Source organism: Homo sapiens, chromosome 19, assembly GCF_000001405.40.
Source record: "Homo sapiens chromosome 19, GRCh38.p14 Primary Assembly".
NCBI classification, from domain to species: Eukaryota; Metazoa; Chordata; class Mammalia; order Primates; family Hominidae; genus Homo; species Homo sapiens.
Genome location: NC_000019.10, coordinates 51,695,346 through 51,709,718, shown reverse-complemented (window position 1 = coordinate 51,709,718; position 14,373 = coordinate 51,695,346). Strand labels below are relative to the sequence as shown.

The window sequence follows — 14,373 nt, the reverse complement described above, 5'->3', positions numbered from 1 at the left end:
CACAGTAGCCATGGAAATCAAGTCATGACCTGCCTGCCCTTGCTTGGCTCAAAAGCCACCCGTGACGCTCATCTTTTATTTCTTTTCTTTTTTTTTTTTTTTTTGTGACAGAGTCTTGCTCTGTAGCCCAGGCTGGACTGCAGTGGTGCAGTCATGGCTCATGTCATCTTTTTTTTTTTTTTTTTTTGCCTTTTTTTTCCTGAGATGCAGTTTCGCTCTTTTTGCCCAGGCTGGAGTGCAATGGCGCAATCTCAGCTCACTGCAACCTCCGCCTCACGGGTTCAAGCAGTTCTCCTGCCTCAACCTCCAAAGTAGCTGGGATTATAGGCACCTGTTACCACACCTGGCTAATTTTTTATTTTTAGGAGAGATGGGGTTTCACCATGTTGGCCAGGCTGGTCTTGAACTCCTGACCTCAGGTGATCTGCCTGCCTCGGCTTCCCAAAGTGCTGGGATTGCAGGCATGAGCCACTGCACCTTGCTCTTTTTTTTTTTTTTTCTGATTCAGGTTCTCACTCTGTAGCCCAGGTTGGACTGCAGTGATGTAATCATGGCTCACTGCAGCCTTGACCTCTCAAGCTCAAGCCTCGGTCCCCCAAAGTGCTGGGATTACAGGTGTGAGCCACCACACCCAGCCGACCCTCATCTCTTACAGAGGTAAGTCTAGACTTTATAGCAGCCAGCAGCACCATCTGGTCCCCATGGTCTCTGACTTCACTGTGTATCCACTTCCTAAGGCCCTGTTCCAGCTACACTGGCCTCCTGGATGTCCTCCCGGCTGTCCTCCCATGTGCCTGGCACTCCTGCCTCAGGGCTTTTCCCTTTTTAAATTTTTGCCTGGAACAGTTTTTTTTTTTTTTAGACAGAGTCTCACTCTGTTGCCCAGGCCGGAGTGCCATTGTCTCACTCTGTTGCCCAGGCTGGAGTGCAATGGCACAATCTCAGCTCACTGCAACTTCTGCCTCCCAGGTTCAAGCAATTCTCGTGCTTCAGCCTCCTGAGTAGCTGGGATTACAGGCATGTGCTACCATGCCAGGCTAATTTTTGTATTTTTAGTAGAGACAGGGTTTCACCATGTTGGCCAGGCTGGTCTTGAACTCCTGACCTCAGGTAATCCACCCGTCTCGGCCTCCCAAAGTGTTGGGATTACAGGCATGAGTCACCTCGCCTGGCCACCTGGAACACTCTTCACACAAATATCCATAATGGCTCATACCGTCATCCCCTTCAAGTTTTTATTCAAACGTCACTTTCTCAGTGAGGGCTTCTCCACAGATCCTACTGCTACTTCCCTCGGCCCCATATTCCATTTCTCTGCTTATCTTCTCCATCACACATATTACCATATTTCGTATTTTACTGTTTTCTTATTGTCTGTGACATAGTAAGAAATACATATTTGGTGTTTGTCCCTGGTTTCTGACAGTCTTATACCCTTGTACTTTCTGGAGTGATGTGGGCAACAGAAGCGTCTTACATAGAGCTCCTAATCTCTTGAATTTCCTGGGTGATAACAGCATCGTTTGTTCTATTCAAGTGACTCTTGGTGGTCTCCTGGAAGAGCGCTGGTCACCAGCAAGACTAGGCTATGATTAGGAGCTTGGAGCTTTCGGCCTCACCCGCTGCCCCCTCCAGTCCTTGGGGAGGGAAAAAGGGGTGGAGACTAAGTTCATAAGCAATCATGCCTACATGGTGCAGCCTCCAGAACAATCCCTAAACTATGGGGTTTGCAGAGCTTCCAGGCTGGTGAGTGCATCCACGCACTGACAGGCCGCTGCATCCCAGCTCCCATGGAGACAGAAACTTCTGCACTTGGGACCCTTCTGGACCTCACCCTATCTACCTCTTCATCTGGCTATTAAGCTATTTCCTTCATACTCTCCTTTATAATAAACCAGTAAATATGTTTCCCTGAGTTATTCAAGCTATTCTAGCAAATTACTGAGCTGGGGGGCTGCAGGTTGCAGGAGCCCCTGGCTTGCGACTGGTGTCTGAAGTGGGGGCAGTCTTGTGGGCCTGAGCTCTTAAAACCTGTGTAGTGCGACGCTAACCCTGGGTTGTTGATTTTAGAATTAAATGAATTATAGGACACTCAACTGGTGTCCGGGAGAGTTGGAGAACTGGTTGGTATGGGGGCAGGAGGTAGAATCCCATACATGTAGTGTCAGAAATGTTGAGAGTAGAGAAACAGTTTTCTGGCCAGGCGCGGTGGCTCACGCCTATAATCTCAGCACTCTGGGAGGCTGAGGCAGGCAATCACTTGAGGTCAGGAGTTTGAGACCAGCCTGGCCAACATATTGAAACCCCGTCTCTACTAAAAATACAAAAATTAGCTGGGCATGGTGGCACACGCCTTTGTAGTCCCAGCTACTCGGGACACTGAGGCACGAGAATTGCTTGAACCCAGGAGGCAAAGGCTGCAGTGAGCCAAGATTGTGCCACTGCACTCCAGGACTCCATCTCAAACAAAACAAAAAAAAAAAAAAAAGGGAGAGAGAGAAACAGTTTTGTTTTACTGTCCACTAGAATGTAAGTTCCATGTGAGTACTGTACAAACTTTTTGTCTCTTCTGATTTCTTCATTGGGATCTCTACAGTGCCTTGAAAATACATGACAAAATAGTAAGCACTCAATAAATATTTGCTGAATGAGCAAATCAATAAAGGGAAATAGACCAGTGAACAAGAATGAGTACATGCTCAAAAGGAGCTTCCCTTTCAGGTAGGAAAGGCAAAACCAAATTAAAAAATGAGTTAACGGCTGGGAGCGGTGGCTCACGCCTGTAATCCCCTAGCACTTTGGGAGGCTGAGACAGGTGGATCACCTGAGGTGAGGAGTTTGAGATCAGCCTGGCCAAAATGGCGAAACCCTGTCTCTTCCAAAAATACAAAATTAGCCAGGTGTGGTGGCGCATGCCTGTGTTCCCAGCTACTCGGGAGGCTGAGGCAGCAGAATCGCTTGAACCCGGGAGGTGGAGGTTGCAGTGAGCCGACATCGCACCATTGCACTCCAGCCTGGGCAACAAGAGCGAAACTCAAAAAAAAAAAAGAGTTAACATTAGGTCCAGATGAGCTCAGTGAACAAGGTGAAATTGGGCAATGTCAAACAGGGAGAGAGAGGTAGTTAGAGAAGGAGACATTTGATCTGGGATCTGTGCAATGAGAGAGGTGGGTTTGTGATACTCAGAGGAAAGTCATTTCAAGTATGAAGCACAGCAAAGGCCTGGAAATGGGACTGAGACTTGCATGTTCCAGGGACCTAATAAGGAGGCCACTGGGGCTGGAAAGTAGCAAGGGGCCTGAGGGAGAGGTAGAGTCAGTTAAGTCAATACAGTGCCAGCCGCGCAGACTTGTCAAGGGGATTAGCGGGGTTAATAGATGTAATGGCTACTCAGGGGAAATCATAAGAGTTAACTAGACAAAAAAAAGGAGAAAATATTATTCTAGGCAGGAAACAGTGTGAACCAAGACCCTAGAGAGGGCAAGAAGTATCATGATGAATGCGAGGAAGGAGGAAAGGCCAGAGAAAAACCGCAGGGTGGCAAGATCAAGGAGGAAAGGGGTATGGGACAAGGCTGCTGGTGAGGTCAGCAAAGGCCAGACCTGTGGAACCTCTGAGGCTTTGACAAGGAATTGGATTTTGTCTCAATGGCAACAGGGAGTCACTAAAGGATTCTGGGTAGAGGAGTAACCCAATCTGACACACTTTAAAACCTAAGTCCTTGGCCGGGCTTGGTGGCTCACGCCTGTAATCCCAGCACTTTGGGAGGCCAAGGCAGGTGGATCACTTGAGGTTAGGAGTTCAAGAACAGCCTGGCCACATGGTGAAACCCTGTCTCTACTAAAAATACAAAAATTAGCCGGGTGTGGTGGTGGGCACCTGTAATCCCAGCTACTTGGGAGGCTGAGGCAGAAGAATCGCTTGAACCCGGGAGGTGGAGGTTGCAGTGAGCTGACATCACATCACTGCACTCCAGCCTGGGCCTTGGAGTGAGATGGTGCCTCCAAAAAAATAAAATAAAATAAAACAAGTCCTGCTGGTATGTAGAGAATGGGCTACAGTGGAGAGAGGCCAAGGAGGTGGTGGGGGGCTGCTCCAGTGATCCAGACATGAGGTGGGGGTGACTGGGACCACAGAGAAGGCAGCTTCATGAGATATTTAGGAGTTAAAAAGTCTGAGGGTTGGAAATGAAAATGAATTGGAAGTGGAGGAGAAGTTAGATTCCAAGGTTTCTGGTTTGAACTGCTAGGTGGATGGTGTTGCTCTTTCTGGTAGGAGGAAAGCCTTGGGGAGGAACAGCCTCTGAGGGCAACATGGAGGACTCTATTTGAGGGTGCCTTCTGCAGATGGAAATGTCAAGGAGACAGCCAGTAACCTGAGGGGGTATCTGGGTTCCCACCTAACTTGCACTGGGATAGCTATGCCTATCACTGTCATTATGCGGGCCATATTCATCTGGGCATGTGTGGGCTTGCTGCACCTCCTCCTACCTGAGTTAGTAGTGACCACCTTCGGAGATGAAACAATCTAGAGTTGAAATATATTCTTTATTTTCAGGATGGAAATAGGATAGGGAAGGAGGAAAGATACCTTTGTTAGTTGCCACTGCAGTACCATCGAAAGAACATCCTGGGGAAACAAAGAGGTATGTGTGTTACAGGAGGGGTTGGTGACTAGAAACTTAGGTCCCGGAGCCTGGACACCAGGGTCAAAAAGGTGTACAGGGCCCGGACTCCTGGTTCTGAGGGAGGAGGGGGCAGGGGGCCTGGGCTTTTGGGTCTGAAGGAAGAGAAACTTGGGGGTCTGGACTCTTGGATCTGAGGGAGGAGGGGCTGGGGGCCTGGACTCCTGGGTCTGAGGGAGGAGGGGGTCCGGGGGCTTGGACTCTTGGATCTGCGGGAGGAGGGGACTGGGGACTTGGACTCCTGGGTCTGAAGGAGTAGGGGTTTGGGGCCTGGAATCCTGGGTCTGAGGGAGGAGGGGCTGCGGACCTGGACTCCTGGGTCTGAGGGAGGAGGGGCTGGGGGCCTGGACTCTTAGATCTAAGGGAGGAGGGGGCTGGGGACTTGGATTCCTGGGCTAGTAAAGAGGGGCTGGGACCTGGACTCGTGGGTCTGAGAGAGGAGGAACTGAAAGCCTGACCTCCTGGGTTGGAGGTTGCTGGGAACCCAGACTTCTCGGTGGGATCTGAGACAGCGGGGAGCTAGATGCTGGGGCTCCGGAGTCCCCAGAACTCACCACGCCAACACTGTCGCACTCGCTGATGCGAGGGCCCCGAGGACTGCAAGCAGGAACAGATTGCTGGGCGTCAGAGCCTCGGGCCTGGCCAGCAGCTCGCCCAGGCTGGGCCTCCAGGGCTCGATCAGCTCGGCATCCCGCGGCGCCCAGCGCAGCACTTCCCGGAACGAGGCCTGCAACTCTGTCTCCGCCCGCGGGGGCGGGCCCGTCACTGCGGGGGCGCGCACGTCAGCCAGGCACGAGCCCCACCCCTCTCCCGACCCCGCTCACTCACGCGGCCGCGCCCCGCCCCACCGTTAAGAAAGAAGTAGAGCCGGGCCAGGGGGCGCTGGTCTTGCTTGATCACGCAGGAGAACGTCCCGCGGTGCGTGAGCTGAGCCGGCCGGATCCGCGCCAGGTATCCTTCGGCCCGCGGCATATCTCGGAAATAGGACAAGTCCTGAGTCCGGAGCTGCGGGACACGCGGGTTTAAACGCCTCAACTCCGGCTTGCCACTGAGTAACCTACAAGCCCCGCCCCCCGAGCCAGACCACGCCCCCTGGAGTCCTGGCCCTGAGCCTTGAGCCCGCCCCCGAGCCTTCTCGCTCCCCTGCCCTAAACGCACCCCTTCCCCTCACTCCTTAAACCCTTACGCATAACCTACCCCTAGAAACTGCTTTTATTTATGTATTTTTTTTTTCTTCCAGACAGGGTCTCGTTCTGGCGCCCAGGCTGCAGTGCAGTGGCGCGATCATAGCTCACTGCAGCCTCAAACTCCTGGACTTAAGCAGTCTTCCCGCTCAGCCTCCCCAGTGGCTGGGACTATAGGCGTGCACCACCACGCCCCGGCTGTTTTTAAAATTTTTTGGCAGAGGAGGGGTCTTAATTTGTTGCCGAGGCCGGTCTCAAACTCCTGGGCTCAAGCCATCCTCCCGCCTTGGTCTCCAAAAGCGCTGGGATTACAGGCGTGAGCCATCGCCCCAGGTCCTTGGTCCTGCATTCTGATCTTCGAGCTCTCCCCTAAATCCCGCGACCCTCCTCTTGCTGATGCTTGTGTCTAGACGGAGATTCCCGGAGTCCCGTCCCCGCAAGCTGACTCCCCAACCTCTAGTGAAGGCTAACTCGCCCGTCTAAACTCTTCGCGCCGGCCCCGCCCCGACTCACACCTCCTCCTGCGAACTTCCAGGAATAGGTGATCTCCTCCTTTGGCAGCTGGAAGTTTACGATGCAAGAAAACATAGCCTGGTCGCCCCGAGTCACTGTCACATCCTGAACTGAAGACGGAGCAGGGTTCACTCGCTGGGCCCCGACCACGTCTGGCCTCGCCACCAGCTTATGCCCCTCGGTGCTCTGGTCCCTTTTCTCAGGTTGGCCTCCTGCACCCCGAGGCCCCGCCCCCTCACCTGGGCAGTCCAGCGGGAGGTCGCAGACCCTAGAGTAGCACCCGCTGCAGAGGAAACGCCGGGCGAACTCCTGGAGACCTGTGGAGCGGGAACGCTGGGTCTAGGCGCCACCTGCCCTTCCAAGCCCGGGGCCCTTGGCCCATTTGAGATCCATGCAGCTTCCCGGGGTCCATCGGCCAGGTGGCATCTTGACCCCGCCCTCCCTGCTGTCTTTGGCCGACTCTCACTCCTCTCCGCCCTCTAGGATTCCTATTGGTTTGCTTCGGCTCTCACACACACCTTCTGAGGATTTAGAGCAATACTTGGTTTTCTTCCTTTTCTCCAGGGATCTTATTGGCTTCCTAAGGATGTGAAGCCCACCCGCTTTCCCACACTTGATGTCGTACGTTTCGTCCCCGACCGCCTCCCTTACCCCGCAATTTCCAAGTTTTAGATGAAGTCCTTACCGCAGGGAGGGATGCAAGCCTGGGCTGTGGAGGAAGAGGAAACATCACTACCTTACAGTCATGGGAAGAACCCTTGCCCGATGCTCCCCTAGCTAATGTTACAAGGCCCGAAGCATTGCTCCGAGGGGGCGGGGCCAAGCTTTCGTCATAACCTGGGGGCGGGGTCAAGCCGGCTGGGTTCCACCTGGGGCCGGGGCCAAGCCTGAGCATTCCACTAGGAGGTCAGGCCCAGGACTGCTGCCAGCCTTCTACTTGGGGTTTAGAGGGAAACACACTGGTTTTCTGTAGGCCCTGATGGGGATGGGCAATCCAGGTGTATTCCACCGAGGAGGCGGGGCTAGATCCTGGGCGATCCTTGCAGGAGACCAAGGCTAAGGTGGTGGCCCAGTTAGAGAAGAGGCGTGGCCAGGTTAGTAGTAGTCCCGGAAAGGGGCTCAGTTGGAGACGAAACCTTTCATCGAAGGGGCGGGGCCAGATCAAAAATGGTCCACGCGGGGAAATAGTCGTCCCTCAAGGTCTGAGGCTCAGAGATGGGGCCAGGGGATTGTACGGGGAGTGGATGGGGGGTCTCAGGAGTGGGTTTCGTTTTGAGATGGAGTCTTGCTCTGTCACCCAGGCTGGAGTGCCGATCTCGGGTCACTGCAACCCCGCCTCCAGGGTTCAAGCAATTTTCCTGCCTCAGCCTCCTGAGTAGATGAGATTACAAGCATGCGTTACCACGCCCAGCTAATTTTAGTATCTTTAGTAGATATGGGTATCACCATGTTGGTCAGACTGCTTTTGAACTCCTGATCTCAAGTGATCTGCCCGCCTCAGCCTTCCAAAGTGCTGGGATTACAGGCGTGAGCCACCATCCCCGGCCAAAAGTGGGGTTTTCTAATTGTGTGTGTGTGTGTCTGGGGAAGGAGAGATGGAGTGTATTTTACCTTCTTTAAGCTGTGTAATGACCTTCTTCATTTTCTCCGCAGCATCAGGGAAGGCAACCTCAAAGGATCCTGGAGAGTGGAGGGGAGGACGGCCTGTGTAGTAAAGCCCTTCCCCCAGGGCTTGGTCCTTGGTCCTGCATTCTGATCTAGCCTGGCTAGGGCTAGGCTGGCCCTAGCTCACAGGACGTACTGTCATGGTATCTGCCCTTCCCTGGCCCCTCTTCACCCCTCTCATTACCATATTCTCTGCTCCTCTTCTCATCACCCGCCCTCTGTAGTTGAAGGCTAACAAGTCCCTAAGTCTCCTTTCTTCTGCCTCCTGAATCTCTCCAGGATGGAAGTCCTCCTGGACATCACCTGCATGTAGCTTGTTGGGGGGAGAAGGGGAGGATAAAGATCAAATTCCTCACCAAGGCCTATTAGGTCTTACATGGTTTGGCCTAGTTCCCCCTCCCTCCCTGTCCCATCCCTACTGCCCACCTTTCATTTCCTTTATTTTATTTTATTCAGACAGTGTCTCACTGTCACCCAGGCTGGAGTGCAGTGGTGCGATCTCGGCTCACCGCAACCTCCGCCTCCTGGGTTCAAGTGATTCTCCTGCCCTAGCCTCCCGAGTAGCAGGGACTGCAGGTGTGCACCACCACGCCTGGCTAATTTTTGTGTTTTTAGTAGAGATGGGGTTTCACCATGTTGGCCAGGCTGGTCTCGAACTCCTGACCTCAAGTGATCCACCCACCTCAGCCTCCCAAAGTGCTGGGGTTACAGGCATGAGCCACCGTGCCTGGCCTCATTTCCTTTAATATGAAAACCACCACATTCCCTAGCACCTCAGGGCCTTTGCACATGCTGGCTTGTTTTTAGCACATTTTTCCTTCTCCTAATCATCCTTCCATCACCACAAATCTAACCAAGTTCCCTGTTTTTGTCTCTCATCGCAATCATTTCATTCCTAGCTCTCATCTGTCTGCAATTACATATATTTATATATAGATGATGATCACTTATGTCTGTCTCGTAAGTAAATAAACATGTTCTTCTGTAGCACTGTGTCCTCTGGATCCTGGAGAGGGCCCTCAGTCTTAGAAGTGCTCAGTAAGTATTTGTACAATGAATTCCAGGATCCAACTTGAACTGGAGACCCCAGCTGGTGGCCTATGACCCAAATCCATCCCTGGGATGTGTTATATTTGGCCTGGAAAGTGTTTAAAAGAAAATGAACCAGTTGCCAACATATAAAATTTGGAATGTCAAATAAAACGTTTGGCATCTCTTTTTTACAAAGTTGGAAGAGCTGTAACACAGAGATCGCATTTCCATAAGGCAGCAATTAGCTGGAGATGGGTAGCAGTCACTCCCTTGAAATGGGGCACACACCGGCCACTTCTCCATAGTCCCCAGCCTCTATTCACTTCTATATTTACCCATCTTTTACTCTTTTATGTTCCTTGTCTTTGTAGGTGTTTGTTTTGTTTTGAGATAGAGTCTCGCTCTGTTGCCCAGGCTGGCGTACAGTGGTGTGATCTTGGCTCACTGCAACTTCCACCTCCCAGGTTCAAGTGATTCTCCTGCCTCAGCCTCCCCAGTAGCTAGGATTACAGGCACCCACCACCATGCTCGGCGAATTTTTATATTTTTAGTAGAGATGGGGTTTCACCATGTTGGCCAGGCTGGTCTCAAACTCCTAACCTCAGGTGATCCGCCTGCCTCGGCCTCCCAAAGTGCTGGGATTACAGGTGTGGGCCACCATGCCTGGCCTTGTGTTTTGACCACTGCAATGGCCTCCAAATTGTATGGGTTTGTGGCTTGTTCCAGTGGAATAAGAATAGACAGCTGACTTGATCTCGTGGTGATTTGTGGAAATCAGTAATGTGGCAGGGTTTTATCGGCTAAATCGTGCCGCCCACCCCCCATCCCCCGCAACCAAACTTGTATGTTGAAGTCCTAACTCCCAGTACCTCAGAATGTGACTGTACTTGGTTCTTAAAGAGGTGATTAAGTTAAAATGAGGTCATTAGGGTGGGCTGTAATGCAGTATGATTGGTGTCCTTATGAGAAGAGGAAATTAGGACACAGAGATGCACACAGGGACATATGAAGGAAGGCATCTACAAGCCAAAGAGAGAGGCGTGAGAAGAAACTAACCCTGCTGACACCAAAACCTTGGTCTCAGACTTCTAGAAGGCAGAAACTTCTGTTGTTCGAGTCACCCAGTCTACGGTACTTTGTTACAGTGGTCCTAGCAAACCAACACACAGGAATTGTTCACTGCCTCCAAATACCTATATATCTATAACCTATATCCACAGAACACAGATAAAAAGCTTCATCTCCCAGCCTTCCTTGCAGTTGTGGTCATGTGACCAAGTTGTAGCCATAGGATGCAAATGGATGTGTTATGTGAGTCACAGGAGGTGGCCTTAAAAGGGAGGTGGTACCGCACCTGGAATCACAGCTACTCGGGAGGCTGAGGTGACAGGATCACTTGAGGCCAGGAGTTCGAGACAAGCCTGGGCAACATATCCAGACACCATCTCTAAACAAATTTTTATAAATTAGCCAGGTGTGATGGTGTGCTTGTAGTCTTAGCTACTCAGGAAGCTGAAGTGGGAGGATGGTTGAGCCCAGGAGTTCAAGGCTGTAGTGAGCTATGATTGCACCACTGCCCTCCACCCAGCCTGGGCAATAGAGCAAGACCCTGTCTCTAAAAAACAAAGACAGAGAAGGTGGTGCCATCTTATTGTTCCCCTCATCCATCCTGCTGCCTGAAAATTTGTTTTGATGGTTGGAGCTCTAGCAGCCACACGGGACCATGAGGACAAGGGCTACTCCCTGGGATATTAAGTCTTGAAGGAGCTTGGATCCCCAAGAAATGGAGGTGCCATATTAGCCTTAAGTGCCTACCACAAGACTTACTTTATATAGGAGAGCTAAACTTCCTACGGGCTTAAAGCCATTGCAGGGACAGGGGAAAGCGTCCTCTGTGATTAAAGCCATACAAAAAGGGAGGGAACTGAGGATATTGGCAAGAAAGTGCCTAAAACAATGATCACTGGATATACACTTGGAGAGAGGAAGCACTGATGCCCAGAAGTGGGTTCCAAATGAGGACCCAGTGGTCTCTCCTTGGCCACAGAGCAGGAGTGTGGTCTCAAGATGGCAGGATGATCAGGAGCATGTGGTCAGACTGGGGTGCACAAATGAGAGGCCAGGATGTTGGAGGAGTCATCCAAAGAATTTCTATGTGCCAAATCAAATGACTCATGGGCAGGGTGAGCGTGGGATATACCAAGTAAGCCATGGTGGCCGGGTGGGCTTATACTCCACCAGGGGAGTATAAGTGGAGTGAAATGTTCCGAACAGGCCAAGTGGCCTGGGTTATAGCAAGCGGGCCATAAGGCGGCATGGGTGGGTGTTGTAAAGTCTCCCCCAGAGGAGTTGCATATCGTCAGGAGCTCTGACCCTGGTTCAGATCATCTGGGTCTGAGTCCTGGTGCTTCCGTCTTGAGCACACCTGTCTCAGATCTGAGTATCAATCACAAGCCCTCCTCCCCATGCGACCTTGGCCAAGTGACTTCACCTTCCTGATCCTCAGTTTCCTCATTCATCAAATGAGGATGACAGCAGTGTCTGTATCACAGAATTAGCGGGAGGATGAGACGCCATACAACCATGAAAGCATCCTCATCCCCACTCTTCCATGGCATCGTTTAATGATTGTATGAGATGGTGTCACTAAGTGTGTAGAATGGCTCCTAGCACGTAGTGAGTGTTAGAGAAGGCTGGCAAACTTAGGATTGCCATCTCCAAGTTTGAGGTGGGGAAACGGAGGCATGGGGAGATTAGAGAAGTGGTCCAAAATCACATGGCTACATTTGACCCTGGTGGTCAGGCTCCAGAGCCTCCACACCTAATCGCTGCATACATAATCTCCACACCTAATACTGCATCCAGTCTGTACCACGTCATCTACTCCATGGTTTATATATACATATATACAAATAAGATCACCTGGGATCACCAAGAGGCAGTCAGCCTACATCAGCTCCTCCATCTCCCTGCTGCTCCCTCTGGAGGAGACGCAAAAGTCATCCTTGATTCTTCCCATTGCCCTCACCCACCTACATCTGGTCCAGTCTATCTCCAAATATATCCTGGGCCTACTGTTCTTGTCCAGAAGAGCCCAGCGTTCCCTTCTGATAAGCGGGGCTATAAAACCCAGCCTCACAGGGCCGGTAGAGGATATCCTTTAGGAAGATACTTAATATGAATGACTCTGTGTATGGCAAACACAGCCTTTTGCACGCATGGGCAAGCCTGGCACACGGTCAAATCCTTATGCCCACCCCACTCTGCTCAGACCTCATCTGGGCCCCCGGACCACTGTGACTGGTCCAAGCCACCATGGGCCGGCTTCTCACTGGAAGTCTTCCTGCCTTTGTCCAGGCCCCATACAGCTGCCAGAGAGATCTTGTTAAATCCCAGGTCAGATCCTGTCTCTCTGTGTAAAGTCCTCCAACAGCTCCCCCATTTCAAGAGCAAAAAACAAAAGTCATTCCAAGGGCCTACAACAGTGATTCTCAAAGAGTGTTCCCGGAGCAGCAGCATCAGCATTCCCTGGGATCTTGACAGAAACGTCCATGTCTGGGCCCTACCTTGGACCTCCTGGTCAGAGGTGGTGAAGCCCAGAAATCTGCATTTTAAATAAGCTCCCAGGGGATTCTGATGTATGCTGGGGCTTGAGAACCCCCTGTCTATGAGGATCTACAGGAGGTGGCCCCTTGCTATCTCTCTGATTTCACCTTTACTCCAGCCCCACGGGCCCCAGGGTCTTGCACTGGCTATTCCCTGTGGCCTGAAAATCTCTTTCCACAGATTATCTGCATGGCTGTCGCTGTCACTGTCACCTTGCTCAGGTCTTTGCTCAACTGGACCCTGTCATTTCCACCTGCCCTGACCAACCTATTTAAAATTATCACCCAGCCAGGTACGGTAGTTCATGCCTGTAATCCCAGCACTTTGGGAGGCTGAGGTGGGAAGATCACTTGAGCCCAGGAGTTCAAGACCAACCCATGCAACATAACAAGACACCATCATTACAAACTATTTAAAAAATTAGCCAAAGATGGTGGCGCACACCTATAGTCCCAGCTACTTGGGAGGCTGAGGCAGGAAGATCGCTTGAGCCCAGGAGTTTGAAGCTGTAGTGAGGTATAATCACATCACTGCAATCCAGCCTGGGTGACAAAGTGAGACCCTATCTCAAAAAAACAAAAAAACTATCACCCCTTTCTCTTCCCCTTCTCTGTTTTCCTCCATGGCAGGGATCACCAACTGACATACTAAGATACTAAGATATTTTATCGATTATGTTTATTGTCTATCTCCCCAGACTCCACCCCAATATAAGCAACCCGAGGACAGGTGGTTTGCAGTTTTGGTCACAGCGGTTGTTCCTGGCACATTCAGTAAGTATAATTGAACGTATTGCACCAGCTTCTCCCGGCCTCCAGACTCTCCCTCTGGTCCATCTTTGACACGACCCCAGAGGGTTCTTTCTACACCCAGAGCTGCCCCTACTTCTTCACTGCTCACACTCCTGCTGCAGCTCCCCAGCGCCCTGAGGAAAGAGACTCAACACTCTCTGACTTTTCTGCTGAACTCTGCACCTAGGTATCTAGCTGCCTCCTAAACGTCCCTGGGACCCCTCAAAGTCACTGCCTTCTAACCCAGCTTATCATCTGCCCCCGGCTCTTTCTCTCAGGCTCCTTATTTCGGTGATGACCCACCGCCCAACAGGCACAGAGCAGGACCTGTCTCAGATGCTGTTCTCTATGCTTCCCAAAACAGCCCAGCAGACCTAACTCTCTGGCCCTGGCCCTTCTCCACCTTCACGGCCCCAGCCCCCACTCGGGCCTCCGCTCTGGCCTGGACCCTCACCCAGCCTCTTCTCTCTCCCCTCCAAGTTTGTCCCCCATGCGGCCCCACAGAAGGCTTCCATTCCCAGATCCAAAGGTTCCTCATCTTTTCAAAAGCTTCTGTAACAAGGCAGCCTATGTGGGGAGAAAGGGCATTTCTTGGAATCCTGCACACCCCCACATGGAGAGGTTTAGGGCCTCAGGTCTCCCTTTAGGGTGGAGATGGGGAGAGCCACAGCTGAGGCCTTCTCCAGGCTGGCCCTGGATGCCCCCTGGGTGGATGGGAACCTTCCCTCTTCCGGGATTGTTGACAGGACGCTTGGAGGGCAAAGCAGGAAGCAAAAGGAGCGACTGTGGGTGTGGGAATAAGCCCTGAGCTCCTGGACCTAAGAGGAAGCCAGTTTATTCTATAGCGCAGGGCTCTGTAACTCCTGCAACTCCGAGCCTCCACAGTTCCAGGGTCTGG

At 51.9% G+C, this 14,373-nt stretch overlaps 1 protein-coding gene across 6 annotated transcripts in view, besides 1 other annotated feature; it reads right to left on the bottom strand.

Moving 5' to 3' along the window:
* The window catches only part of SPACA6 (sperm acrosome associated 6), a 30,458-nt gene that overhangs the window by 3,425 nt on the left and 12,660 nt on the right, over positions 1-14,373 (bottom strand). For 3 of the 6 annotated variants that reach the window (XM_017026300.3, NM_001316994.2, NM_001316972.2), the window contains exons 3-9: positions 7,993-8,061; positions 7,067-7,090; positions 6,621-6,698; positions 6,382-6,491; positions 5,533-5,689; positions 5,239-5,449; positions 4,529-4,629 (exon numbers count right to left, since the gene is read on the bottom strand). In XM_017026300.3, coding sequence (XP_016881789.1) covers positions 4,596-4,629; positions 5,239-5,449; positions 5,533-5,689; positions 6,382-6,491; positions 6,621-6,698; positions 7,067-7,090; positions 7,993-8,061 — 683 coding nt within the window. In that variant the 3' untranslated portion in view covers positions 4,529-4,595. Of the gene's footprint in view, positions 1-4,528; positions 4,630-5,142; positions 5,450-5,532; positions 5,690-6,381; positions 6,492-6,620; positions 6,699-7,066; positions 7,091-7,992; positions 8,062-14,373 lie in introns of those variants that run through there. The other 3 variants (XM_017026299.3, NR_024330.2, XR_007066593.1) reach the window with 3 other exon arrangements.
* Positions 5,353-5,552: a silencer, noted in NCBI's record as "silent region_10990". NCBI's record gives its function as "represses an Ori minimal core promoter by ATAC-STARR-seq in GM12878 lymphoblastoid cells {active_cell/tissue: GM12878}" and the evidence as "EXISTENCE:reporter gene assay evidence [ECO:0000049][PMID:35858748]".